The sequence below is a fragment of the Homo sapiens genome, chromosome 17 (assembly GCF_000001405.40).
Source record: "Homo sapiens chromosome 17, GRCh38.p14 Primary Assembly".
Taxonomy (NCBI): Eukaryota; Metazoa; Chordata; class Mammalia; order Primates; family Hominidae; genus Homo; species Homo sapiens.
The window spans coordinates 47,910,716-47,937,299 of NC_000017.11; the positions used below are offsets into that span (position 1 = coordinate 47,910,716).

At 48.5% G+C, this 26,584-nt stretch overlaps 1 protein-coding gene and 1 long non-coding RNA gene across 21 annotated transcripts in view, besides 1 other annotated feature; one reads left to right on the forward strand and one right to left on the reverse strand.

Annotated features, from left to right (window-relative positions):
• The window catches only part of SP2 (Sp2 transcription factor), a 35,496-nt gene extending 14,480 nt beyond the window's left edge, over positions 1–21,016 (forward strand). For 7 of the 19 annotated variants that reach the window (XM_011525139.3, XM_047436570.1, XM_017024968.2 and 4 more), the window contains 8 exons: positions 4,597–4,673; positions 5,441–6,415; positions 12,247–12,559; positions 14,204–14,378; positions 14,633–14,826; positions 17,009–17,105; positions 18,221–18,345; positions 18,947–21,016. In XM_011525139.3, the coding sequence (XP_011523441.2) occupies positions 4,611–4,673; positions 5,441–6,415; positions 12,247–12,559; positions 14,204–14,378; positions 14,633–14,826; positions 17,009–17,105; positions 18,221–18,345; positions 18,947–18,987 (1,983 nt within the window). In that variant the 5' untranslated portion in view covers positions 4,597–4,610 and the 3' untranslated portion in view covers positions 18,988–21,016. Of the gene's footprint in view, positions 1–4,010; positions 4,147–4,596; positions 4,674–5,440; positions 6,416–12,246; positions 12,560–14,203; positions 14,379–14,632; positions 14,827–17,008; positions 18,346–18,946 lie in introns of those variants that run through there. The other 12 variants (XM_047436571.1, XM_047436572.1, XM_011525143.2 and 9 more) reach the window with 5 other exon arrangements.
• Positions 1–26,584, reverse strand: part of SP2-AS1 (SP2 antisense RNA 1) — a 43,019-nt gene that overhangs the window by 12,330 nt on the left and 4,105 nt on the right. For both annotated transcript variants that reach the window (NR_103857.1, NR_103856.1), the window contains exon 2: positions 7,737–7,856. This is a non-coding gene — a long non-coding RNA (SP2 antisense RNA 1). The remainder of the gene's footprint in view (positions 1–7,736; positions 7,857–26,584) is intronic.
• Positions 16,654–17,155: an enhancer, noted in NCBI's record as "H3K4me1 hESC enhancer chr17:46004735-46005236 (GRCh37/hg19 assembly coordinates)". NCBI's record gives its function as "activates a minimal SCP1, AML or CMV promoter by ChIP-STARR-seq in primed H9 embryonic stem cells {active_cell/tissue: H9 hESC(primed)}" and the evidence as "EXISTENCE:reporter gene assay evidence [ECO:0000049][PMID:30033119]".

The following is a 26,584-nucleotide window of genomic DNA, read 5'->3' on the forward strand; positions in this document are numbered from 1 at the left end:
TGTAGCGTGTCAGTCAGAGTAATACAGTCTTTCCACTGCTTCTAAAGTTATGTCATCTTTCACTTTGCACAGATGTATCGTGAACTAAATGTGCAGAATGAAGTTGTCCTAATTAGCCCACACAGTGCACTTGTAAACACACACACAGGCCCTGAAATGTGCAGGACTTGGTTATGCAGCAGTTACCTGGTGATCTATGGTATATGTTCATTTTTAAAAAGATGATTGGGCTGGGTGTGGTGGTTCATGCCTGTAATCCCAGCACTTTTGGAGGTGGAAGCAATGGGATTGCTTGAGCCCAGGAGTTCGAGAAAAGGCAGGGTAACATGGCGAAACCCCGTCTCTAGAAAATACATAAAAATTAGCCGGGTGTGGTGGTGTGCACCAGTGGTCCCAGCTACTTGGGGGGCTGAGGTGGGAGGATCACATGAGCCCAGGAGGCAGAGGTTGCGGTGAGCCGAGATCACGCCACTGCTCTCCAGCCAGGGTGATAGAGCAAGACCTTGTTTCTAAATAAATAAACAAACAAATAAATCTTTGTTTTGGCTGGTCATGGTGATTCATGCCTGTAATCCCAGCGCTTTGGGAGGCCAAGGTGGGTGGATCACTTGAGGTCAGGAGTTTGAGACCAGCCTGGTTAACAAGGCAAAACCCCGTCTCTACTAAAAATACAAAAAAAATTAGCCGGATGTAGTGGTGGGTGCCTGTAATCCCAGCTACTTGGGAGGCAGAGGTTGCAGTGAACCAAGATCATGCACCCCAGCCTGGGCAACAGAGTGAGACTACATCTCAAAAAAAAAAAAAAAAGATTGGCCGGGCACAGTGGCTCACGCCTGTAATCCCAGCACTTTGGGAGGCCAAGGCAGGCGGATCACGAGGTCAGGAGCTCGAGACCATTCTGGCTAACATGAAACCCCCTCTCTTACTAAAAATACAAAAAATTAGCCGGGCGTGGTGGCGGGCATCTGTAGTCCCACTACTTGGGAGGCTGAGGCAGGAGAATGGCGTGAACCCGGGAGGCGGAGCTTGCAGTGAGCAGAGATCGTGTCACCGCACTCCAACCTGGGCGACAGAGCGAGACTCCGTCTCAAAAAAAAAAAAAAAAATCACAGTGAAAACACACAAGAAAAGAATAAAAAGGCCTCTGCGGAGATGCCTGTGAACCCTGGTCCTGAGACCCACCCCAGTTCGAGACACTTTGCAGCAGCAGACTTCTCAGCACTTAGGTGGAGGCATGCTCAGCTTAGCCCCAGACAAACTAGACTATCATATTGCCCAAGTTTCCTCCTTGTTTGTTCACAAGAATATTATGAAAATGTCAGCCAGATGCCTGTTGAAATAAAATACCTGGTGTATACCATGCTCTTGATGTATCCATCCAAAACCCTACAAAAAAGAAACAGATTTGTTCAGCATGACCTGTTCTTCTATATTATAATGCTATTCCTTGTGGTCACTCCTTCCTTTCCTCAGTAGTTAACAGTACTATTCAATCATTTGTCCTAGGATTTTGCCAAGAATCAGTGCCTGTAATATTACGGGATCTGCATATATAATTTTGCCCAGAGCTGCCCTCCAGCTCCATACACATTTGCAGGTGTGTCTGCAAAGTCTCCCCTCCTCTGGAGTATAGTTTGTGTGGACTTCAGGCCTGGTAACCATTTAAGGCACTGGTGTGCTTTCTTACCAGCTCATCACCTATCCAGGGCTTCAGTTTCCACTTCACCTTTTTTTTTTTTTTTTTATGGAGATGGGATCTTGCTCCATCACCCAGGCTGGAGTGCAGTGGTGTGATCACGACTCACTGTAGCCTTGACCTCTCAGGTTCAAGCGATCCTCCCACCTCAGCCTTCCAAGTAACTGGGACCATAGGCATGTGCCACCATGTCCAGCTAATTTTTAAATTTTTTGTACAGATGGGGTCTCCCTATGTTGCCCAGGCTGGTCTCAAATTCCTGGCCTCAAGCAATCCTCCCACTTCACCTTCCCGAAGTGTTGGAATTATAGGCACGAGTCACTGCATCCCGTGCCTTCACCTTTTCTTTACTTTTCCCCATTTAAGAATTGTTCTTCCAAACAGAGAAGCCTGAGGCCAGCCAAAATGTGAACGGTTCTGCTTTCCCAATATGTATCCTTTTGTTTGTTTGTTTGTTTGTTTGTTTTTGAGACACAGTCTCACTCTTGCCCAGGCTGGAGTGCAGTGGTACGATCTCAGCTCACTGCAACCTCCACCTCCTGGGTTCAAATGATTCTCCTGCCTCAGCCTCCTGTGTAGCTGGGATTACGGGCACCTGCCACCACGCCCTGCTAATTTTTTGTCTTTTTAGTAGAGATGGGGTTTCACCATGTTGCCCAGGCTGGTCTCTAACTCCTGAGCTCAGGCAATCTGCCTGCCTCAGCCTCCCAAAGTGCTAGGATTACAGGCGTGAACCACCACACCCAGCCCAATATCTATCCTCTTTTTGCCAAATTCCTTACAAGGACTCAACCCCTGCGCCTTTTTGTTTGTTTTTTTTTTAAGAGATGGGGTCTTGCTATGTTGCCCAGGCAGGAGTGTTTTGGCTATTCACAGGTGTGATAATAGGGCACTGCAGCCTCAAATTCCTGGCCTCAAGTGATCCTTCCATCTCAGCCTTCCAAGCAGAATGCATCCTGAGCCTTTTTGTCTCTTTTAGTCTTTAAAGTAATACCCCTCTTATTTCTGTACTTACTGAAATCTGCTTTCCAGAGGTCCAGGATTGAAGTCTGACTCTGCCTGGTGTTCTTTTCCTTAGTGATTTATGCACTTTAAGATGGTATAGATTCTTTCTCCTAAAATTCTCATGACTTTCGTTTTCCTGATACTGTGTTTCTTTCTTTTTAAAAAATTTTTATTAGGGACGGGGTCTAACTGTGTTGCTTAGGCTGGTCTTGAACTCCTGGGTTCAAGCGATCTTCCCACCTCGGCTTCCCAAAGTGTTAGGATTACATGCATGAGCTACTGTACCTAGCCTCTTTTGGATGACTTAAGTGCACAGTAGAGAGTCCCTTCATTACTTCCTCAACCTTATTTTTCTTTATTTAAGAAAAAAAGTACAGTAGAATATATTTATCATGGGAAAATGAAAAAGTACAGAAAACCAAGGTGCAAAATAAGTTTAAGTCAAACAAAACTCAACCGCTAGGAGATAATGGCTTAAGACTTTTTCCTATTTGATTATATTCATATATAGAAATATATACACATTTAAACAAAAATAGAATTTACTCTGTTTTCATTCTCCTTGTTATATCCAGTTAGTCATTAGCTCTACTGAGTCTTGGTTGATGCCTGTGGGGCCGTGCCTATTGTACTATGTAAAAGCGTAAATTCAAGTAAAGAATTGACCCATGAGGCCAGGGATGGTGGCTCACGCCTGTAATCCCAACACTTTGGGAGACTGAGGCAGGTGGATCACCTGAGGTCAGGAGTTTGAGAACAGCCTGACCAACATGGTGAAACCCTGTCTCTACTAAAAATACAAAAATTAGCTGGGCATGGTGGTACATGCCTGTAATCCTAGCTACTCAGGAGGCTGAGACAGGAGAATCACTTGAACCTGGGAGGTGGAGGTTGCAATGAGCCAGGATCGTGCCATTGCACTCCAGCCTGGGCAACAAGAGTGAAACTCCTTCTCAAAAAAAAAAAAAAAGAATTGACCCATGTGCTGTATATGCTGCCTGGGGACAACGGCCTTTGTGGTGAAGGCTGAGCATAAAACACCCAAGACTTGGCAGTGGAGCAGGTGTGTCCTCCTTGTCAGAAATCTTGGCTGAGCGATACTTCCCTCCCAGTTTTGGCATCTGTCTACAGCAGGAGTGAACAGGAGGCTTGAGTTTGAGCTAGAGGATTAGCTGGGGAGCTCCCCCCTGCCCACCATAGAGGAGTTCCAGTTTAGCTATGGAGAGCCAGCAGTGCCCAGCAGAGAGGGCATAGCTGAGTTACAGAAGAGAGTCCTGGTATAATCTTGGTTATTTTTGTGTTATCTCAGACTCTGTGGTGGCTGGAGGGGGCAGTCCAACGACAGCAGGACCAGCTGTCCTCACAGCCTCAGATGGCTGAGTCTGAGGAGAGGAGAGGAGAAAGTAATCTACTGAAATAGATGTAAGGCTATCAACCCAGGGTGGGTAAGTCTGGGGAAAAGTCATTAACTTCCCTTGGAGAAGCAGCAACAAATAGAGGCAAAAAGAAAATCTGGCTGGGTGCAATGGCTTATGTCTGTAATCCCAGCACTTTGGGAAGCCAAGGCGGGTGGATCACCTGAAGACAGGAATTCGAGATCAGTCTGGACAACATTGTGAAACCTCTGTCTCTACTAAAAATACAAAAATTAGCTGGGCATGGTGGCAGCGCCTGTAATCCCAGCTACTCAGAAGGCTGAGGCAGGAGAATTGCTTGAACTTGGAAGGGGGAGGTTGCCGTGAGCCTAGATCATGCCACTACACTCCAGCCTGGGCAACAAGAGCAAAAATTCCGTCTCAAAAAAAAAAAAATAGAAAAAAAGAAAATCTGAGGCAAGTGGGCTTGCGTTCTTTTTGGGCATTTTATACATTACTCCATCTCTTTTCTTCCAACAGATCCACAGACCAGCATGGCTGCCACTGCTGCTGTGAGTCCCAGTGACTACCTGCAGCCTGCCGCCTCCACCACCCAGGCGAGTAGGCAGTGGGCTCCGAGGGCTTGGGGCTGCAGCATCCTGGACAGACTCACCGAAAACACTCTCTCTTCACTGTCTCACTATAAATACCCTAGGTTATGAGACTGGGGAAGGTTCAGTTAGCCACATTTTCTTTACTGAGAAACTATGGCCATTTACCTAAGGTGCCGCAGTTGGGCCAGGGGGAAAAACAAGGATTAAACTCTGTGTTCCTTCCACCAGACCTCACTAAAAAAGGAAAAGGAAAACAGAGGCTTTCTCATTGTCTCGAAAGTGTAGCCCTCCCCAGTCTATAAAGTTACATGTTCCGAGTACTAAAAAGCACTTTACTGAAGTATTTATTCCTCCTGTTGCCCCTCCATTTTTTCCTCCCTCCTTTCCTCAGTTGAGCAATCAGGGACCCCTCAGTCCCTGGGGTGGGCTAACAAACTCCATCTGAGAGCCAAACATGCTTCACTGTCCTTAGAAACAAGGCCAGCGGAGAGTAGGAAGTCAGCTCGTGCTGTTAGTTTACCCTGTCTGTGGGGTGCTGCCAGGGGTTCCTTCCTGAGAAAGACATTGCCCACCTTTTCTCCCTCACTTAATGGAGAAACCAGTAGAGAAGGGGAGACAGCAGCCAAGCAGGGGAGGGTACTGGCAACATGCCTGCCCCGGAGGTGGGGAAGACTGGCGTGGAATGCCGCCAGGAGGAGAGGATCATGGACAGAGGCGGCCGGGCAGCGGGCCTTCCTGTCTCACTCCTTTTCTCTGCTGTTTTTTTGCAGGACTCCCAGCCATCTCCCTTAGCCCTGCTTGCTGCAACATGTAGCAAAATTGGCCCTCCAGCAGTTGAAGCTGCTGTGACACCTCCTGCTCCCCCACAGCCCACACCGCGGAAACTTGTCCCTATCAAACCTGCCCCTCTCCCTCTCAGCCCCGGCAAGAATAGCTTTGGAATCTTGTCCTCCAAAGGAAATATACTTCAGATTCAGGGGTCACAACTGAGCGCCTCCTATCCTGGAGGGCAGCTGGTGTTCGCTATCCAGAATCCCACCATGATCAACAAAGGGACCCGATCAAATGCCAATATCCAGTACCAGGCGGTCCCTCAGATTCAGGCAAGCAATTCCCAAACCATCCAAGTACAGCCCAATCTCACCAACCAGATCCAGATCATCCCTGGCACCAACCAAGCCATCATCACCCCCTCACCGTCCAGTCACAAGCCTGTCCCCATCAAGCCAGCCCCCATCCAGAAGTCGAGTACGACCACCACCCCCGTGCAGAGCGGGGCCAATGTGGTGAAGCTGACAGGTGGGGGCGGCAATGTGACGCTCACTCTGCCCGTCAACAACCTTGTGAACGCCAGTGACACCGGGGCCCCTACTCAGCTCCTCACTGAAAGCCCCCCAACCCCGCTGTCTAAGACTAACAAGAAAGCAAGGAAGAAGAGCCTTCCTGCCTCCCAGCCCCCTGTGGCTGTGGCTGAGCAGGTGGAGACGGTGCTGATCGAGACCACCGCGGACAACATCATCCAGGCAGGAAATAACCTGCTCATTGTTCAGAGCCCTGGTGGGGGCCAGCCAGCTGTGGTCCAGCAGGTCCAGGTGGTGCCCCCCAAGGCCGAGCAGCAGCAGGTGGTACAGATCCCCCAGCAGGCTCTGCGGGTGGTGCAGGCGGCATCTGCCACCCTCCCCACTGTACCCCAGAAGCCCTCCCAGAACTTTCAGATCCAGGCAGCTGAGCCGACACCTACTCAGGTACCACACTCCCTGTACTGTCCTCCTTCTCCTCCTCTGGTTATCTCTTTTTGGCTTGCTTTGAAGATGATGCTGGTCATCTCCCAGCTTGATCTGACCTTGAGAGTCAGTATCTTTTGGGGTGGGCAGTAAGTGGCCGTTTCTACCTGACAAATGGGCTCTCTTTAGTTCATAGGGCCAAGTACTTCTTATCTTTAGAAATTGATGAAACATAGGGATATTTTGGCACCTTTTCCTTATAGGTTGTTTTTTTTCAGGGGATGGTGAGGGGATAGATACATACTTGTTAATAACTTATTTTTGATTATAGAATTACTCAAAACATTAGCAAGAATGAAAACATTCCAGTTCATAGAATTTTATGTAAAGTAAGAAAATTAATGAGAAAAATGCTGATCATTATTAATGACAAGAAAAAAACAGGAAGAGCAGCCTAGCTTTATAGCAGGAATATTTAGGCTAGATTCATCTGGAATGTTTGTTTGTTTTAGGGTGTTTTTTTTTTTTTTGAGATAGGGTCATACTCTGTTGTCCGGGCTGGAGTGCAGTGATGCGGTCACTACAGTCTTAATCTCCTGGGCTCAAGCAATCCTCCCACCTCAGCCTGAGTAGCCAGGACTACAGGTGTATGTCACCATGCCAGGCTGAGCCACTGCTTCCTGCCAAACTGGGATGCTGAATTCAACAAGAATGTTCTTATTTTTGGCATTTATTAATGTGCTCTAATACTCTGGAATCTCTTTGGCTCTGTGAGGCAAGTTTTATTCTTTGTTCATGCCTGCTAAGTGCCAGTAATTGTGCCCATGTTGCAGATGGATAACCCAGAACTCAGATAATTTATGAAGTATCCAAGATCAAATAGGGCATAAATGACAGGAACCAGGAGTCAATTGAGATTTGTAACTTCAGACCCCACACTCTTCCATCTTCCACCTTGACTCTTGTGTCTTATGTGTAGCAGGTGCTACCATTAAAATTGAGGAGTTTTTTTTTTTTTAATATAAAAAACAGTTCCTGCCATCGAGGAATGTATGACCTAGTTGTCTATAGAGGAAGAACCGAATGACTGAGAGTGGGAAGTTGTGTAATTTCCTGGGTGGAGAAGAGAGCCTTTGAATTTGAACTGTGGACATAGAAATCACACAGGAATTCACCCTTCTGGCATATTTAATGTTGCCAGGTATTTTTTATAAGTCATTTATCACAATATCTGTGAATTCCCATGATCAGACCTACCCTACAGGTGATATTTTATGTTGCCAGGTGATTTTTTATAAGTCATCTATCACAAATATCTGTGAATTCCCATGATCAGACCTACCTTACAGGTGAAGAATTGTGGCACCTGCTCAGGAGCACATCCTCGGCATTGCCTCCCCTCCCTTCCATGAGGTCCCATTTCTTGAGGTTGATGGAGACAGGACTAAAACCCAGGTCTTCCCTAAGGAAATAATGATACATATGCAGAAAGATTTAGCTACAGTATTATTTTTTCATGACTACACAGCTTTATAACATCCCAACATGCTGATTATTATACAACTGATACCTTGTTAACTGTATATATCTAGGCTGTTTCCAATCTTACAGCTAAATAAATCCCTGAAAGTGGGTCAAGGACACGTACATTTTTAAAAAATTTGTATTCTATATTAGAGGTTTGCAGTCTGTGACCAACTTTGAAGCCAAATCTAGCCCACCTGCCTGTTTTTGTAAATAAAGTTTAATTGGAGTGCAGACACGTCCATTTGTGTTGCCCTTGCACTACAGTAGTAGCACAGTTAAGTAGCAGAGACAATATGCCCCGCAAAGCTAAAATATTTACTCTCCGGCCCTTTATAAAAAAAGCTTGCTGAACCTTCAGATGCAAATACACACACACACATGCATGCACGCATACACACACACACACAAAATCAGACATAAAATATCAGTGATTTGAAAAAGGGGCACATATCAGAAAACTGGGAATGAGATTTGCATATTTACTAAGAAATGGGCCAGGTGAGGTAGTTTATGCCTGTAATCCCAGCACTTTGGGAGGCTGAGGCTAGAGATTGCTTGAGCCCAGGAATTCAAGACCAGCCTGGGCAAGATAGCAAGACCCCATCTCTACAAAAAAATTAAAAATTAGTGAGGCATGGTGCTACACACCTGTAGTCCCAGCTATTCAGGAGGCTGAGGTGGGAGGATCACTTGAACCCATGAGTTCGAGATTGCAGTGAACTATGATCATTCTACTGCATTTTAGCCTGGGTGACAGAGACCCTGTCTCTATTTAAAAAAAAAAAATTTTTTTTAAAGAGATGAGATGTTTGTTAGCTTTTAAGTGAGAAGAAGCACAGTCATAAATAATCCAGGAATTAAAAATTACCCAAATCAAAATCACAACAGGATTTTTTTTTTACAAAGAACTTTTTTCCTTTTGACTCATTTGAGTGTAAATTGCCACCATGATCCCCCTTGTCATTTCTGAACGCTTTAATTCCTACACACAAGAACATTCTACATTACCACAATACAATCGTCAAACCCAGGAAATTAGCAGTGAAACACACTGCTAATTCCAAGACCCCACTGTGTTTTCACCACTTGCCCCACTAATTCCTTTGTGGCAAAAGGATCTGATCCAATATTACACATTACGTTTAGTTGTCTCCTTAGTCTCTTTTGATCTGAAACACTTTGTCATTCCTTTTTTTTTTTTTTTTTTTTTTCTGTTTTTTTGAGACAGGGTCTCGTTCTGTCACCAGGCTGGAGTGCAGTGGCAATCTTGGCTCACTGCAACCTCCAACTCCTGGGTTCAAGCGATTCTCCTGTTTCAGCCTCCCAAGTTGCTGGGATTACAGGCGCGTGCCACCACGCCCGGCTAATTTTTTTTGTATTTTTAGTAGAGACAGGGTTTCACCGTGTTGGCCAGGATGACTTCCTCATTCTTTACTTGACCATCATGACCTTGACACTTTTGAAGGCTAAAGGTCAACTTTGGCCATTGGCAGCTCTTTCAGGTCGGCTCTTTTTTTCTCTTTGGCCATTGGCAGCTCTTTTCAGGTCGGCTCTCTGCAACCTCCGCCTCCCGGGTTCAAGCGATTCTCCTGCCTCAGCCTCCCGAATAGCTGGGATTACAGATACCCGCCTCTGCGCCCTGCTAATTTTTGAATTTTTTTTTTTTTTTTGGAGACGAAGTCTCACTCTGTCACCCAGGCTGGAGTGCAGTGGCGCCATCTCGGCTCACTGCAACCTCTGCCTCCCGGGTTCAAGCAATTCTGCCTCAGCCTCCCAACTAGCTGAGACTACAGGCGAGCGCCACCATGCCCAGCTGATTTTTTGTATTTTTAGTAGAGATGGGGTTTCACCATGTTAGCCAGGGTAGTCTCGATCTCCTGACTCTGTGATCCGCCCGCCTCAGCCTCCCAAAGTGCTGGGATTACAGGCATGAGCCACCGCACCCGGCCAATTTTTGTATTTTTTTAGTAGAGACGGGGTTTTACCATCTTGGCCAGGCTGGTCTCGAACTTCTGACCTTATGATCCACCCGCCTCGGCCTCCCAAAGTGCTGGGATTACAGGCTCGAGCCACCACACCCAGCCTTCAGGTTGGCTCTTATATCCCTCTGACAGGCTCTCATTCTTTTTTTTTATAAAATCAGCTTTACTGAAACATTCACATACTATGAAACTTACCCTTTTAAAGTATACAATTCAGTGATTTTTAGTATATTCACAGAGTTGTGCAGCCATTACCTCTATATAATTTTAGAACATTTTCATCACCCCAAAAAGAAACTCTCTACCCTTTAGCCATCACTCCCCATTTATTTCCTCCTCTCTGCAGCCCCTGACAACTACTGGTCTATTTGTAATGTTTTCAAGGTTCATCCATGTTGTAGCATGTGTCTGGTGACTGGCTTCCTTCACTTAGCATGTTTCAAGGTTCATCCTGTTGTAGCATGTGTCTGAACTTCATTCCTTATATTTTCCCAACCTCAGCCTTAGGGTCAACCATTTCTTCTCAGATTCCTGGTTCCTCTCATTGAAGGATGTGATTGCCTCTTTTTAATTCTGTCATTGTCTTCCTCCCCCATTTATTTATTTATGTCATTATGGACTCACGGATTGCTGCTTTTTTGTTTTTTTGAGATGGAGTCTCGCTCTGTCACCCAGGCTGGAGTGCAGTGGCACAATCTCGACTCACTGCAACCTCCACCTCCCAGGTTCAAGCAGTTCTCCTGCCTCAGCCTCCCCAGTAGCTGGGATTACAGGCGTGCGCCATCCCTCCCGGCTAATTTTTTTTGTATTTTCAGTAGAGACGGGGTTTCACCAAGTTGACCAAGCTGGTATTGAACCACTGATCTCAAGTGATCCGCCTGCCTTGGCCTCCCAAAGTGCTGGGATTACAGGCGTGAACTACTGCACCCAGCCAGATTCCTGTTTTATTCACTGGGTTATAATCTGTTAAGATTATTTTGATGTTTTCATTGACCTAGATTTGGCCAGTGGGTGCCCCTTTAAGCTGGCTTGTATCTTTTCAAGTCCCCACCATTCTGTAAGCATTTCTTTACTTTCTGGTGCAAGTGTTCCAAGCTTTCCTTGTACCTTCCCTGCCCCAACCCTGGAATCAGCTATTTCTCCAAGGAGCCTGGGTTCCTTTTAGTGGAGCATGTGAGTTACAAGCTAAGGCCTGGGTGCTAGGTAAGCTCATTGCTACTGGGCATGGCTGGTCCCAGCCCTTCTCAATGGACACAGCTAGGAAGTATATATAAATAGACATACCTATGCAATGTCTACGTAGATAGATGTAGATAAACTTATATAAGGACACACACACATGTATACACATACACATATACACACATTTGAATCTATATTTCTCTGTCTATATATATTGAAACCCATGAGTTTCCACCAATGTCTCTAATTCCCATCTAGCACCACAGTGTTCCGTCTAGCCTTCTCCCTTTCCATAACTCCCTTCTGTGACAGTGAGAGCCCTCACTCCTATTATCCTTAACATGCTTCCTTTCTGGATAAGTCCTCGGTATGCAGCCAGTCTCCCACAGCCATTAGCTCTCCCATAGAGACACCCTCCTCAGCCTGCCACCGCCATTCCCTACCCACCACGGACACCCTCCTCCCCGCTACAAATGCCCTCCTTGTCCTGCTCAGCCTCTAATTTGCGTATTTTTAAGGTTTTTGATACATATCCCCAAATTTCCTTCCAGCAAGTTTAGCCCACATCATACTTCCACTCCTAATATACAAGTGTCTGTTTCCTGCTGTCTCACCAACAATGAGCATATTTTATTTTCCATGTTTGTCAATCTGAATTGGAGAAAAGTTGTTTTTCATTAATATGTGGCTCTTTTTTTTTTTTCTGATAACAAAGACCAGAAACTTTTTTTTTTTTGAGACAGCGTATTGCTCTGTCACCCAGGCTAAGTGCAGTAGAGGAATCATAGCTTATGAAAACCTGGAATTCCTGGGCTCTAAAATGTGGCTCTTAAAAACTAAAGTGAACCTGTGTCATTTGTTTGATGGTCATTCACAGTGCACTGCCTTCTAAATCTCCAATTCTGATTCTTGGCAATTACTTTTTCCATGCTAAGTAAATTCAACGTTTGGTTTCAAATCAATAGTCAACATTCGCCAGCTTAGTATAGGATGCCAGCAGCCATTTGTCGAGCATTAGCTGTGTATAAATGTAGGTTTGGGTGAATTGAAGAGACTTTTAGTGGACAGGCGCCCCCAGTTCTCACTTGGGCAGGGACATTTGAAGGCCCCAGGAACCTAGTCTCTTCCAGGCACTGATTTTTTTTCTCTGGCCCCTCCCAGGTCTACATCCGCACGCCTTCCGGTGAGGTGCAGACAGTCCTTGTCCAGGACAGCCCCCCAGCAACAGCTGCAGCCACCTCTAACACCACCTGTAGCAGCCCTGCATCCCGTGCTCCCCATCTGAGTGGGACCAGCAAAAAGCACTCAGCTGCAATTCTCCGAAAAGAGCGTCCCCTGCCAAAGATTGCCCCAGCCGGGAGCATCATCAGCCTGAATGCAGCCCAGTTGGCGGCAGCTGCCCAGGCAATGCAGACCATCAACATCAATGGTGTCCAGGTCCAGGGCGTGCCTGTCACCATCACCAACACAGGCGGTGAGGATGGCCCCTGTGGCCAGGGTGTTGGCAGTGGTACCTGCTCCTAGCAGGTGGAAACTATGGGCTGGCCCCGGGATTTCCAGTAACAATAGTGAGGATGCTGTCCATCATAGCTTAAGGGTACGTCCACCTGCAGCTTCTCACCTAGTCCTTACAATAGCACTCAGAGATAGTTTAAGGCACATGTCCCCATCTGACAGCTGAAGACAGAGAAGATAGATGTACTCGGAAAACTTTCCAACTGACATCCAAACGCAAAGACGGCTTCTTGAAGGAGAAAGCCTTGCGTTAAGGTTGGAAGAAAAGAAGGGAGCCCTGGCAGTCAGAATAGTTTGTGCTGCACTTCAGTTCAGTGGTGAGATTTATGCTGTGAAACCAGCCTTGCAAATAACCAAAGGAAAAATTGGAGCAACCTAGCAAAAATGGCTCCTTATGTAGGGGGAGCTCTCTGAATTTCTCTTCATCCTTAATGAATTTTTTTTTTGAGACAGAGCCTCACTCTGTCGCCCAGGCTGGAGTGCAGTGGTGCGATCTCTGCTTCAGCCTCCCGAGTAGCTGGGATTATAGACGCCCACCACCACGCCCGACTAATTTTTGTATTTTTCGTAGAGATGGGGTTTCACCGTCTTGGCCAGGCTGGTCTTGAACTCCTGACCTGGTGATCCATCCGCCTCAGCCTCCCAAAATGCTGGGATTACAGGTGTGAGCCACCGTGCCCAGCCCATCCTTAATGAATGTTTAGCACTTTAACACATTTGCTTTTCCCTCTTGAGGTGACCCCCAAGAGGATAAGGCATCCTAGAGGATCTGATTTTTCCCAAAGCCCATAGAACTGTGTCCTCTTTTGTGTTTTTTGGTTTTTTTTTTTTTAAGACATGGCCTCAGGGCCTCGCTCTGTCATCCAGGCTGAAGTGCAGTGGCACGATCATGACAATGCAGCCTCAGCCTCCTGGGCTCAAGCAGTCCTCCTACTTCTTCTTCCTGAGTAGCTGGGACTACAGGCATGTAGCACCATGCCCGGCCAATTTTTTAGTTTTTTGTAGAGATGGGGGTCTCCCTATATGCCCAGGCTGGTCTTGAACTCCTGGGCCCAAGCAATTGTCCTGCCTGCCAGAGTGCTGGGATTACAGCTATGAGCCACTGTACCTAGCCTGTGACCTCTTGTCTTTTTAACAGAAATCCCTGGAGACTTTCCTAAAAGCAGAGTTGGTATCTCACAGGGGCCTAAGGTTGGAGGAGATTCAGGAAGAAATGTCTTAAGACCCTTCCCAGCTGAAATCATGTTGGCAATATTCTAAAGCAAATTCTGCCTACATAGTACAGTGGTTCAGGGCACTGACTTTGAAATGGGCTTCCTGGGTTCAGATCTGGGTTCTACCACTTACTAGCTGTGTGATCTTGATATGTTATTGAGCCTCAGTTTCTTCATCTGTAAAGTGCTGATGATAGTACCTATTTTATAGGGTCATGGAGATTAAATGAGTCCCTGTACAAAGGTCCTTAAAATGATATCCAACATACAGCAGGCTCTCAAAAATAGCTGCTGTGATTATCATCTTTGTCATGTGCAGAAGGGCAGAAGGGTTGACTCGAGGTTTCAGGCTTCCTCACCCTGAACTCTGCCCCTCTTTGTCCCCACAGGGCAGCAGCAGCTGACAGTGCAGAATGTTTCTGGGAACAACCTGACCATCAGTGGGCTGAGCCCCACCCAGATCCAGCTGCAAATGGAACAAGCCCTGGCCGGAGAGACCCAGCCCGGGGAGAAGCGGCGCCGCATGGCCTGCACGTGTCCCAACTGCAAGGATGGGGAGAAGAGGTAATTCAAGGAGAAGGCCCAAGCCACAAGGCTGGCCTGTGTTCCCCAAGCCCCTCCTGGACAGTTGTCCAGAGCTGCAAGCTGGCACAGACCAGGCAAGGAAGAGCTGGCAGCTCTGTGCCACCTTGCCCCCTGCCTCCTTGTGCTCTCTGACCTGACCCCACATCCTCACTGCATCCTGTTCCTGCCCCATCCTCTACCGCTTTTCTCTCCTCTTCCTATTCCCTCCACTCCACCCTCACCCCAATTCTCAGGTCTGGAGAGCAGGGCAAGAAGAAGCACGTGTGCCACATCCCCGACTGTGGCAAGACGTTCCGTAAGACGTCCTTGCTGCGTGCCCATGTGCGCCTGCACACTGGCGAGCGGCCCTTTGTCTGCAACTGGTTCTTCTGTGGGAAGAGGTTCACACGGAGTGACGAGCTCCAACGGCATGCTCGCACCCACACAGGTCAGCCCCCTGCCTTCGGGACCCTCCACCCACAGAGGTCAAATTCCTGCCTCTCCTCCCACCCCCACTCTACCGGCTTTAGCAACATTGACACTCCTGGAACTGCCACACTGAGCAAAAGCTACAGACTATCTAGGGACGACATAGGAAATTATTTTCAAGCCATTCTGTTATCACTGTTGTTTCCCCAAGTAATGGGAAAGGAATAGTTGTCATTGCATGACACAACCTGATAACTTTTGCCATGTCAGCATAGTTATTTAACAAACACTGACATGGTATGCCAAGCACAGTACTAAGCACTTTACTGATTACCTCAGTTGATCCTGGTAAGAACTTTATGGGAAGATACTTTGTTTATGCCTTTTTTTTTTTTTTTTTTTTTTTTTTTTGGAGATGGAGTTTCGTTCTTTTGCCCAGGCTGGAGTGAAGTGGTGCGATCTCAGCTCACTGCAGCCTCCACCCCTTGGGTTCAAGCAATTCTCCTGCCTCAGCTTCTCAAGTAGCTGGGACTACAGGCACCCACCACCACACCCAGCTAATTTTTGTATTTTTAGTAGAGACGGGGTTTCACCATGTTGGCCAGGCTGGTCTCGAACCCCTGACCTCAGGTAATCCACCCACCTTGGCCTCCCAAAGTGCTAGGAATAGAGGCGTGAGCCACTGCGCCGGCCTGTTGATGCCCATTTTACTGAGGCATGGAGAGCTGGCCCAGTCACACAGCTAGTGACTGGTGCGGCCAGGTTCACACCCAGGCCCTGCCATGGCTTTTTGTTTTTTTTTTTTTTTAAGACAGGGTCTCACTCTTTCACCCAGGCTAGAGTGCAGTGGCACAATCTTGGCTCACTGTAGTGTTGAACTCCTGGGCTCAAGTGATTCTCCCACCTCAACCTCCTGAGTAGCTGGGACTACAGGCATGCACCACCACACCTGGCTAATTTTAAAATTTTTTTAGAGACAGGGTCTTACTGTGTTGCCCAGCCTGGTCTCAAACTCCTGGACTCAGATGATCCTCCCTCTTCTGCCTCCCAAAGTGAGATATCACAGTTATAGTTTTAGGTACTAGCAAATCAATGCAAAACTATTAAAAATATTGATCCAAGCTGGGCACAGTGGCTCACACCTGTAATCCCAGCTCTTTGGGAGGCTGAGGCAGGTGATCACTTGAGCCTAGGAGTTCGAGACCAGCCAGGGCAATATAGCGGGAGCCCATCTCTTAAAAAAAAAAAAGGATTATACATCTACCACCTGAAATTGTCCTGGGTATCCACAGTGGTCCACACATACACTTTGGCAAACAGTGCTATAGTGAATGCCCACAGTGAGCAGACACCTGTCCTGGGGCTAGAGGGCTGAGGGAAGCGTGACCCAGAGCTCCGGCTCCTGGCCAGTGTGGTGGGACAGGTCCTACTCCCCAAAAGGCAGAGGAGTCAACACTCCACAGAAAAGCAGTTGGGGTCAACATGGTTCCAACTGAGTGCTCAGGGCTGGCAAGGTCAGGGTGGAGGGGGATTTTCCTGTGATGGGGAGGATGCTGATCCAGGTTCAAAGTCAGAGGGACAAAAGAAGAAAGCAGGCAGACAGCCTTGCACAGGAAGACTCTTAGGTGCAGAGGCTCCAGGGACAAGGAATGGGAACGAAATAGACTGGAGAGGTCAAATGGGGGGTCAGAGAGAAATGAGAATTGATAAAGAGATTTAGATGAGTAGGGGCCAAGCATGATGGCTCGTGCCTGTAATCCCAGCACTTTGGAAGGCCAAGGTGGGCGGATCACTTGAGGTCAGGAGTTCGAGACCAGCCTGGACAACATGGCGAAACCCTGTCTCTACAAAAATACAGGAATTAGCTGGGTGCAGTGGCGGGCATCTGTAGTCCCAGCTATTTGAGAGGCTGAGGCAGGAGAATTGCTTGACCTGGGAGGTGGAGGTTGCAGTGAGTGGAGATTGTGCCACTGCACTCCAGCCTGGCCAGCAGAGTGAGACTCCATCTCAAAAAAAAAAAAAAAAAAAAAGATATAGATGAGTAAGCACCAGTGAGCAAATGTGAGAGCAGGAGGTGGGCAGAATGTGGTGACAAGGCCATGTCAGCTTGATTGGGTGCACCTCACACGCACCCCACCTTTTTGGGCAGAGACAGGGTCTGTGCACAGGGTCTGTGGGTGATGGGCATCTCCTCTTCCCAGGGGACAAACGCTTCGAGTGCGCCCAGTGTCAGAAGCGCTTCATGAGGAGTGACCACCTCACCAAGCATTACAAGACCCACCTGGTCACGAAGAACTTGTAAGGCCAACTGCGGCGGGAGGCCCTGAAGATGCAGTCCCCCACCTGTGTCCTCCCTGGGCCCCTGGTGGAAAGGAGCCCTGTGGCTGCCTTGGGCCTGCCCTCAGCCCCACTCCTGTTCTGCAACTGTCCCCACAGGAAGGGGCTCTGTTCCCTGTATTGTCCTCCTTCTGAAGCCCCTTGGCTCTGCCTTGGCCCTTCCCCTCACCACGAGCTCCCGGCCTGCCCAGACTGTGGACACTGGCCGTGCCCAATGAGACGTTCTAAACCAGGACGCGTGGGAACCCTTATTTCCAAAGGAAAAACATGCATTTCACTCCGTCGAGGAGCAAAGTGAGCCCCTACCCCCCACCCCGATCCCCGCTCCCAACACTGCCGGAGTCGCGTCATGCCATGCCCCCTCTCCTGCACCTCCCTGGCCCTGCCGGCCACTGTGGACGCCCTGGGGCTTGGCACCCACCTCTGGAGAAACTCGGGGCCACCTCCACTCCATGTGCCCAGCCCCGCCACAACCTCTCCTCCAGCACATTCCAGCTCTATTTAAAAAGTAAAGACACCCACCGACTCCTGATCCCCCTCTTTTTCTATGGAGAACGTTGCCTTATACTCTACTTCAGATGATGAACACTGTGTACTGTGTGTGCTTTAAAGAAGTTTTATTTAATTGCTCCCTTCTTCCTTTCCTTGTTATTCACCTCCCTGATGCCTGCTTTCAGTTGAGGGTTGGGGGCAATGATGAGCATATGAATTTTTTCTCACTCTAGCAATTCCCTTTTCTAAATGACACAGCATTTAAACTCAAATCTGGATTCAGATAACAGCACCTGCACATCCTGCACCTCCTCCCTCTCCCTTCACCTCACCCCTGCCCGGCCCAAGCTCTACTTGTGTACAGTGTATATTGTATAATAGACAATTGTGTCTACTACATGTTTAAAAACACATTGCTTGTTATTTTTGAGGCTTTTAAATTAAACAAAAATCCAACTTTATTTTTAGTTGTAACTGCTTGAGGTATGTTTTATGAATTAAGTGACAGATTTGTTATCCTTTATTAACGTACTTTGTTGGTCAGCACTGGGCTGACAAAAATTTTTTCTTGCTAATAAATTTAGTTGCCTGAGGCAAAATCTTCAACTTGGCAGTTCGGCTTCCTTTGTCTTTTCCCTTGGAGAGCTCGGAGAGGGGACTCCAGAGGAGGGAGCTGTGGTCTCTCAGAGCGATCCACACTGGGACCAAGGTAGGACCTTGCCCTCCTGACCCTCGGCAAACCCAAGCCACATGCCCAAAAGGGGCCGCGGCCACATATACCTCATGACACTGGCACGAGCCCCCAGAGCACCTCCAAGGGCCAGGGCCCAATGCAGGTGTTCCTGCCTTTTTCTTCTGTAAGCCAGTTTTGCCTGTACACAAAGCAGATACGAAGAGCCAAGTTACAGCAGTGACCTCAGCCAGCAACTTAGCTCTTCCACCCACCTCCCCAACCCCTGGAGGAAGGCATTGGCCTCAGAGCCCATTAATAAGAAGCTTAGAGAGGAGAGCCAATGGGGCCTTGGCTCAGTCCCCTCCAGAAGGCTACAGTCTGGCAACAATGCATTTCCCCAAGGGCCAAGGTCCCTTCCCAAAGTGAAGGGCGAGGCAGGTTCCTGGGAGGGCTTGGCAGCTAGAGAGGCCTGGAGCCCAGCTGCACCCGATAGAGGACTCTGGCCACAGATACTGGTTCCTTCTATATCGCCTGCCCAGTAACCCAGAGAGGACAAGAAGTTGATTGTGCCTTTTGGTTTTAGCAGATGCTACAAATCTGAAATTTTGGTGGGGATTTGTTTTGCTTTGTTTTGCAGAACTAATAGGAACTCAGGGGTTGCGATGTTGTGCAGATTAAGATTGGAGCTAGCTCAGTACATGTGTTTAAGCCCCACAGGGCCCTGAAGAGCATCCGGCCTGAAGAGACAGGCAAGTCCGCCTCAAGCATGTAAAGGACAGCATGTGCTTTCACTCACCCTCGAAAGGACACAGCTGGGATTGCTGTTCTGTTCAGGAGTGGCGAGGCTCGTTTTGAGCTATCCATTCCCCTGCTCTGTTCCCTTTGTCACCAGCCACCTGTGTCTGCCAGCAAACAGCTTTTCCTTAGAGCCAGTCAACCCTCAAATGGCTGAAAAAGTAAAAAGCCCACAGATCTCAGATGGATCCAGGTTCTCTGCCCTTTCCCTCTTCTTTGTTAACAAGCAGGGGCCTTTCCTATCCCTACGGAAGTCGTTTGGGCAATACTAGACCACCAGCTGAATCTACCTTGACACAGAAGCCTCTTCCTCAGCCCCTCAGCTCTGCATCTCATCACCGCACTGGCAGCAGGTGGAAGACATGAGGTGTATTTATTCCTCATGCGTGGACTGCATGACTAGAAAACTGCCTTGCTGCATTCTGAATAAGGGGATTGGTGGAGAGAAGGGGAATATTAACAAAGTGACCTCTTTTTGCCACGTTTCCCTTGGCTTTGCTCTCAGGCACAAAGAATGATCCTTTCCTGGGAGCTGATTTCAAGCCATGTGCTTTATGCTTCCAGTACAGAAACTGACCTGACTCCCCAGCATCATTTGGAAATGAAGGTGCCAGCCCCAAGTTGGGCAGGATGAGCATTTCCCATGTAGGATTTCCCTTCTCCAGTGAGATGGGGGTTCAAAAGTTATGTCTGATCATCTCTGCCTCCCTTGGGATGGCTAAGAGCGAGAGAATGTATTCTGCCTAGCTGAGTGATGGCACAAGGAAAGCACAGAAAGACTTGTGGGCAAATTAACCCTCCTCTGGCTTTAACCTATCCATTATTTGAGAGTTGCAGGGGAACTGTTGAAGGTGTGATGCAGTCTAAGCTCACCCTAGGCAAGAGGCTCCCACAGACACCTGATCCTGATGGGCCCTTGATGAAAATCTGGGTGCAGCTCAAGGGTAGGGGCCCCACATGTGTAGTTCCTCCTCTGTCCTCTACTGTCCCCAGCGTCATGTGCACCAAAGCCCATCCCTCATGCCCTTCCTCTCTGTCCAGCTGACACTTGGCATTGTGCTCATTATCCCACAGCCTAGGATTCCATGCCTGGAAGAAAGAGGGACTGGGCAGGATTTCCCTCCCAAAGGCAAATCCAGGCATTATATGTACTTTTTTTTTTTTCTTTAACAAAACCAGCAAATGGGTCTTCCTTGCCCTTCCTTCAGACCACCCAGTCCATTTTTACAATCATCTTTCTGGCCGGGCACAGTGGCTCATGCCTGTAATCCCAGCACTTTGGGAGGCCGAGGCGGGTGAATCACTTGAGGTCAGGAGTTCAAAACCAGCCTGGCCAACATAGTGAAACCCTGTCTCTACTAAAAAATATAATAATTAGCCGGGCGTGGTGGCGCATGCCTGTAGTCCCAGCTACTTGGGAGGTTGAGGCAGGCAGGAGAATTGGTTGAACCCAGTAGGCAGAGGTTGCAGTGAGCCGAGATCGTGCCACTGCACTCCAGCCTGGGTGACAGAGCAAGACTCTGTCTCAAAAAAAAGAAAAAAAATCATCTTTCCAGTGCCCTTGTGAGGCCCCAGGCTTGTTTGATGACAGTGCTGATGTTACAGCCTGCCACACGACATATTTTGAGGAAGACAGGATGGAGCAAGATAAGGGTTCAGATCTATCCCCAAGCCCAGGGTAGGTGTGTAGGAGCCCTGAGCGGATGGATGAAAGCTGTCCTGGTCTGAGTGCAGAGAATGGGGTGTTCGGGTTCTCCATTTGAGTCTTCCACTGCCCAAACCTGAGGCCCCTTTAAGGTTGCCCCTTAAAGTTGCCACACCCAGAAATTGGGCCAAAGAAGTTAAGCTGTTGATTATTTCAATTCTGAATAAAAATGAAGGCATCTTCTCTGCCTTCTAAGGCCTGGTCTGATCTTGGCTCCTTCATCACTAGAACCTTCCTGAGCAGTGGTCTGGGACCCCTCGCCTTCCTCCCTCCACCTGTGTTTCAGAGCCCTCCTAGTCAGCATGGGCTTCACCTCAAACCCCACTACTATTCTCTCTTCTTCCTGGGGTTCACCTCAAGCCCCACTGCTATTCAACCCCCCTCTTTCTCTTCAGCTTCAAAATAGACTCCCGCATGTACCTTGATTAAACACAGGCCCACTGCAACCCCAGTGCCCCAGGGACGAGGAGGGAAACTGTTTTTAACCATAAGGAAAACAAAGCAAGTACTGTGGTCAATGTCAGTGACCCTCTGCTTAGGGCAAATATTGGAGTGTGTGACTGCAAAACTGGGACATCCACCCCCGACTACAGGGGGTGCCCCTATTCTGCTTCGGCCAGTTGATGGTATGTGAGAATGCAAACTCTTGTGATTTTTGTAAGAGAACCCAGAAATGTGGAGTTTGGGGTGGAATCTGATCTTTCCATGTTTGCTCAATTGTTTAAAAATACAGCAGGACCAGTTTCAGTGCTTGAGCTACCAGTTTTTGACTTCTGCATCATCCATCCCCTCTTCCCTGGCCAGTGACATCCTCTCTACCCCCTGACAGTCTCCAACCTCTCAGTCTTCCCTTCCCCAAGTTACAGGATCACAATGGCCAAAACATTTTTTGTTTGTTTTAAGACAGGGTCTTGCTCTGTCACCCAGGCTGGAGTGCAATGGTGCGATCTCAGCTCACTGCAACCTCTGCCTCCCGGGTATGCAATTCTTTTGTTCCTAGCCTCCCAAGTAGCCGGGATTACAGGCATCCACCACCACGCCCAGCTAATTTTTTTTTTTTTTTTTTTTAATAGAGACGAGGTTTCACCATGTTGGCCAAGCTGGTTTCAAACTCCTAACCTCAAGTGATCCGCCAGCCTCGGCCTCCCAAAGTGCTAGGATTATAGGTGTGAGCCACCATGCCCAGCCTCATTTTTTGTATTTTTAGTAGAGACAAGGTTTCACTATGTTGGCCAGGCTGCTTTCGAACTCCTGACCTCAGGTGACGCGCCTGCCTCGGCCTCCCAAAGTGCTGGGATTACAGGCGTGAGCCACTGCACCCAGCTCCCCAAACAGTTTAACCTGCTGCCCAAGAGATTATCAAAGTGGAAGGACTCAACTGTCCAAAGCAAGTGGGACAGCCCCTAGGGGTTAGACCACTGGCCTCAGTGTCCAAAGGCTCAAGCACCTGTTGCTTCTGCTTCTTCCCCTGCCTGTAAGGGGTGAACAGGGTTCTCAGTTCCTCTCGTGCACCAGGCCCCTGACACACTGACCTTTCCTAGAGGACCTTAGACCAGCACTGACCCCTCCAGTGAGCAGGCAAACGGCTTTTCATGGTGGCAGTGTCAGCAAGAATGTGTTGCCCAATAGTGAAAGAACAGGCTGCAGACCCCCAGGAGAAGTAGTGGAGCATCCATTGTGTCATCAGCCTGGGCTTTTCAGGTGACATCTGTGGCAGCTCTGCAGACTGCAGTTGCGTGATGTACACACCTGAGTTTGGGGTCAGCTCTACCTTAGGTCCACTGCTGTCCTGCAGGACAGTAAGAGGGCCTGGTCCCCAGTCATTAATCTTGACATTGTCTCAGTCTCTTCCTAATTTCCAGTCCTAGAAAAGCTTGGCCATGATGTTGACTGGACACAGACCCCTCTGCAGTCAGAGGGGGCTAGATCCACCCCCTACAGCAATGCCCACACCAGGGTCCCATGAGGCGTGTGTCTTCTACACTGTCCTCCCATAGGCAGGCGGTCTTATTCAGCACAGCAGGGCCACCTACCCCATGCCAGGGAGCTTTTAGGGAGACAAGCCCAAAGTTTAATAGAACTGTCATGACTGGGAGTCCTCAGGGGGAACACCCTGGGCTCCCCAGCTCACGGTGAGAAAGTGGGCTGTGGTCACGCACACAGATACAACTTCTTATCAGCAGCATCATCCTTTACCCCAGGCAAAAGGGAATATGGCAGAAGTTTCCTAGTTCACACTGCCCTAAGGAAAACTCACCCTGCCCAAGGCCAACCCTATCTCTTGTCCTGTCTCCAAAACCAAGCTGAGTGGACCCATTTCCCCACACACCACACCCATTCTTCTTTTTTTTTTTTTTTTTTTTTTTTTTTTGAGACGGAGTCTCGCTCTGTCGCCCAGGCTGGAGTGCAGTGGCGCCATCTCGGCTCACTGCAAGCTCCGCCTCCCGGGTTCACGCCATTCTCCTGCCTCAGCCTCCCGAGTAGCTGCGACTACAGGCGCCCGCTACCACGCCCGGCTAATTTTTTGTATTTTTAGTAGAGACGGGGTTTCACCGTGTTAGCCAGGATGGTCTCGATCTCCTGACCTCGTGATCCGCCCGCCTCGGCCTCCCAAAGTGCTGGGATTACAGGCGTGAGCCACCGCGCCCGGCCACCACACCCATTCTTAAGTTGAGGGGACCTGGACGAAGCAGCTGAAAGACTGAGAACTGTTACGGATGAGAGACTAAGGGGACAGGACTGCTAAATGCAATGTGGGGTCCTGGAACAGAAAAAGGACATGAGTGGGAGAAAAAGGGGTAAAACTCAAAAAAGCCCATAGTTTACTTTTCTAGTTTTTATTTTTTTGGTAGAGATGGAGTCTCCCTATGTTGCCTAGGCTGGTCTCAAACTCTTGGACTCAAGGATCCGCTCACCTAGGCCTCCCAAAGTGTTGGGATGACAGGCGTGAGCCACCATGCCTGGCCTCTGTAGTTTAATTAATAGTGGTGTGCCAGTGTTAATTTCTTGATGTAGACAATTGTGCTATGGTAGTAAGATCTTAATATTTGGGGAAGGTAGGTGAAGAGTGTATGGGAAATCTTTGTACTATATTTGTAACTTTTTTGTAAGTCTAAAATTACTGTAAAAAATAAAATGGAATGGAAGACCTGGAATAGAGAAGTAAAAAATGAAGCAAATGGAACAAGATCACCCAAGCAGCATCAGAATCAGAGTGGACAGCACATACTATGGTGACTAGGACCCTGAGATTCTGGAGATTATGAGAGGTGTGGGCACCTGCTAGGCAGAGCTTGCCAGCTATGGCCCCACCTCCATTCTGCCCCTTGCCACTTGCACCACCTCAGGTCCCCAGACCCATCAGGGGCTCATGGCTGATAGAACACAGATGCCAAGGAACCTAACTCAGGATGAGATGCTGCCTTGGGACAGAGAACACTTGTGATTCAACCAAGGTCTTTGGGGCTGGGGTGAGTCACTAAAGAAACTGCGGTAATAGGACAGGTGGCAGTTGGGTTTCCTAGGAGAAGGGGTCCTCAGGGAGTAGAAGAGGCAGGAAGTGAGCCTGCAAGGATGGAATAATGAACAGGGCTGTGGGTAAAAAAGGAAGCAAACCATGGTGGACTATGGTAGTGACTCAGAGCCTGGAAAAGAGGGTCAAATACCTGCTCATAGGGACCTTGGGCAAAAGGAAATGAGAACTGACTCCAGGGCAGGCCAAATGCAAGGACCAAGATTTCTCAAAGGAAACTAGGAAGCCGCTAGGCCATGTCCTTTGGGCCTGCCTGAAAACCCACCACCAGGCCTCCTCCCACTCACTGCCTGTGGCCGACACCATAATTACCAAGGCAGGTAGTCTGGGGACTGAAACTGATTTAATTCACTTGGACTTTGAAGCTCAACATCCCTCCAGTCAACAAACACACTCGTGGACGGGCACAGTGGCTCATGCCTATAATCCCAGCATTTTGGGAGGCTGAGGTAGGAGGACTGCTTGAGCCCAGGGGTTTGAGACCAAGAGCAACATAGTGAGACCCCATCTCTACAAAAATAAAAAAATTAGCCAGCCATGGTGGTATGTGCCTACACTCCCAGCTACTTAGGAGGCTGAGGTGGGAGGATCTCTTAAGCCCAGGAGGTCAAGGCTGCAGTGAGCTATGAGTGTGCCACCGTATTCCAGCCTGGGCAACAGAGTAAGACCCTGTCTCAAAAAACAAACAAACAAACAAACAAACAAAAAAAACGAAAGAAAAGAAAAAAAACCAAAACAACAAAACACACACTCAGCCCTGCTCCCACCATGTGCAAAAATGTCCTGCACCCTACTCACCATACGTAACACCCATCATACTGAAAAGCTTAAAAAAGTGGTTTATGCATAAACATTACAGATTAGCATTTTTTGAGCACACCTTGTGGGCTAGGATTGTGAGAAGAAGCCAGAGAAAGTTAAGAGATGTGGTCCCTCTCGTGAAGGAGGTCCCATTCTAACAGGGAATACCAGCCACCCACAATGTATTTGGGAAGCCATCTATAAGCACATGCAAGGATCGTTTAGAGGGTTAGCCACAAGCACCAACAGGCAGGACACCGATAAGTTTCAGCCTCCTCTGATCTCGTCCCAAGCCTCTGAGGACCCACCTCCCTTGGGCCTCTGATAAACCCACTCAGGGCTTAGGCATCTGCTGGCAGAGCACCAAGCACACGCCCTTCTGTAAGTCCTGGTGTTGCTACTCTTGGGGCTCCAAGCTGAGTTCACTTCAAGGCTGGGCCCAAGAATTCCTGAGCTTCAGGCCCTCCAGCACACCCCTTGCTCTGCTATCAGCCTTCTTCCTCTCACCTCTTAGAAAGCTGGACACAGGCCGGGCATGGTGGCACACACCTGTAATCCCAGCACTTTGGGAGGCTGAGGCAGGCGGATCACCTGAGGTCAGGAGTTTGAGACCAGCCTGGCCAACATGGTGAAACCCCGTCTCTACTAAAAATACAAAAATTATCCGAGTGTGGTCATGCATGCCTGTAATCCCAGCTACTCAGGAGGCTGAGATAGAAGAGCTGCTTGAACCCAGGAGGTGGAGTTTGCAGTGAACCGAGATCATGCCACTGCACTCCAGCCTGGGTGACAAGAGCGAAACTCCATCTCAAAAAATAAAAAAAAATTAAAAAAAAGAAAGCTGGATGCTATATTTCACCAGCATCATTACCACTCCTCCTTGACTCTCCATTTCCCTACCACCCTCCCTAACTCTCCCAGGCCCTCTTCCCTTCTCAGACATTCTCATCCTCCCTCGTGGCTCTAAGTGCCACCTCGAGGCTCATGCTACCTAAACCAGTATCATCAGCCCTGACCTCCCCACGAAGCTCCAGACTCCATTATCCAACCTGGCCAAACATGGGTGTCCCATCAACCCTCACACTCAAAATGTTGCTAAGGAATTCACCTTTCCCCCAAACCTCCTCCTCCAACAAGCCCCACTTCAATGAACAGCACCACCTGTGTCACCTAAAGCCAGCCCTGGTGGGTGGATCCCTCCTCTCCACATGCCCTACGCCATACTCATGCATCAGGATCCTGCCCCCACCTTCCACTTAGACAACACCACAGCTTCTCCCAACCTATCCCTGCCACCAGCCTGACCCTCCCTTGCTCATCACCCATTTGGTCACCAGAGCCAGGTTCCAAAACACAAATCCAATCACTAAAGTAAAACTGAAATACATAATTTAGTCAGATAATTAGAAAAAAGGTGGTTTAAGAAAGTAAACGTAGCTGGG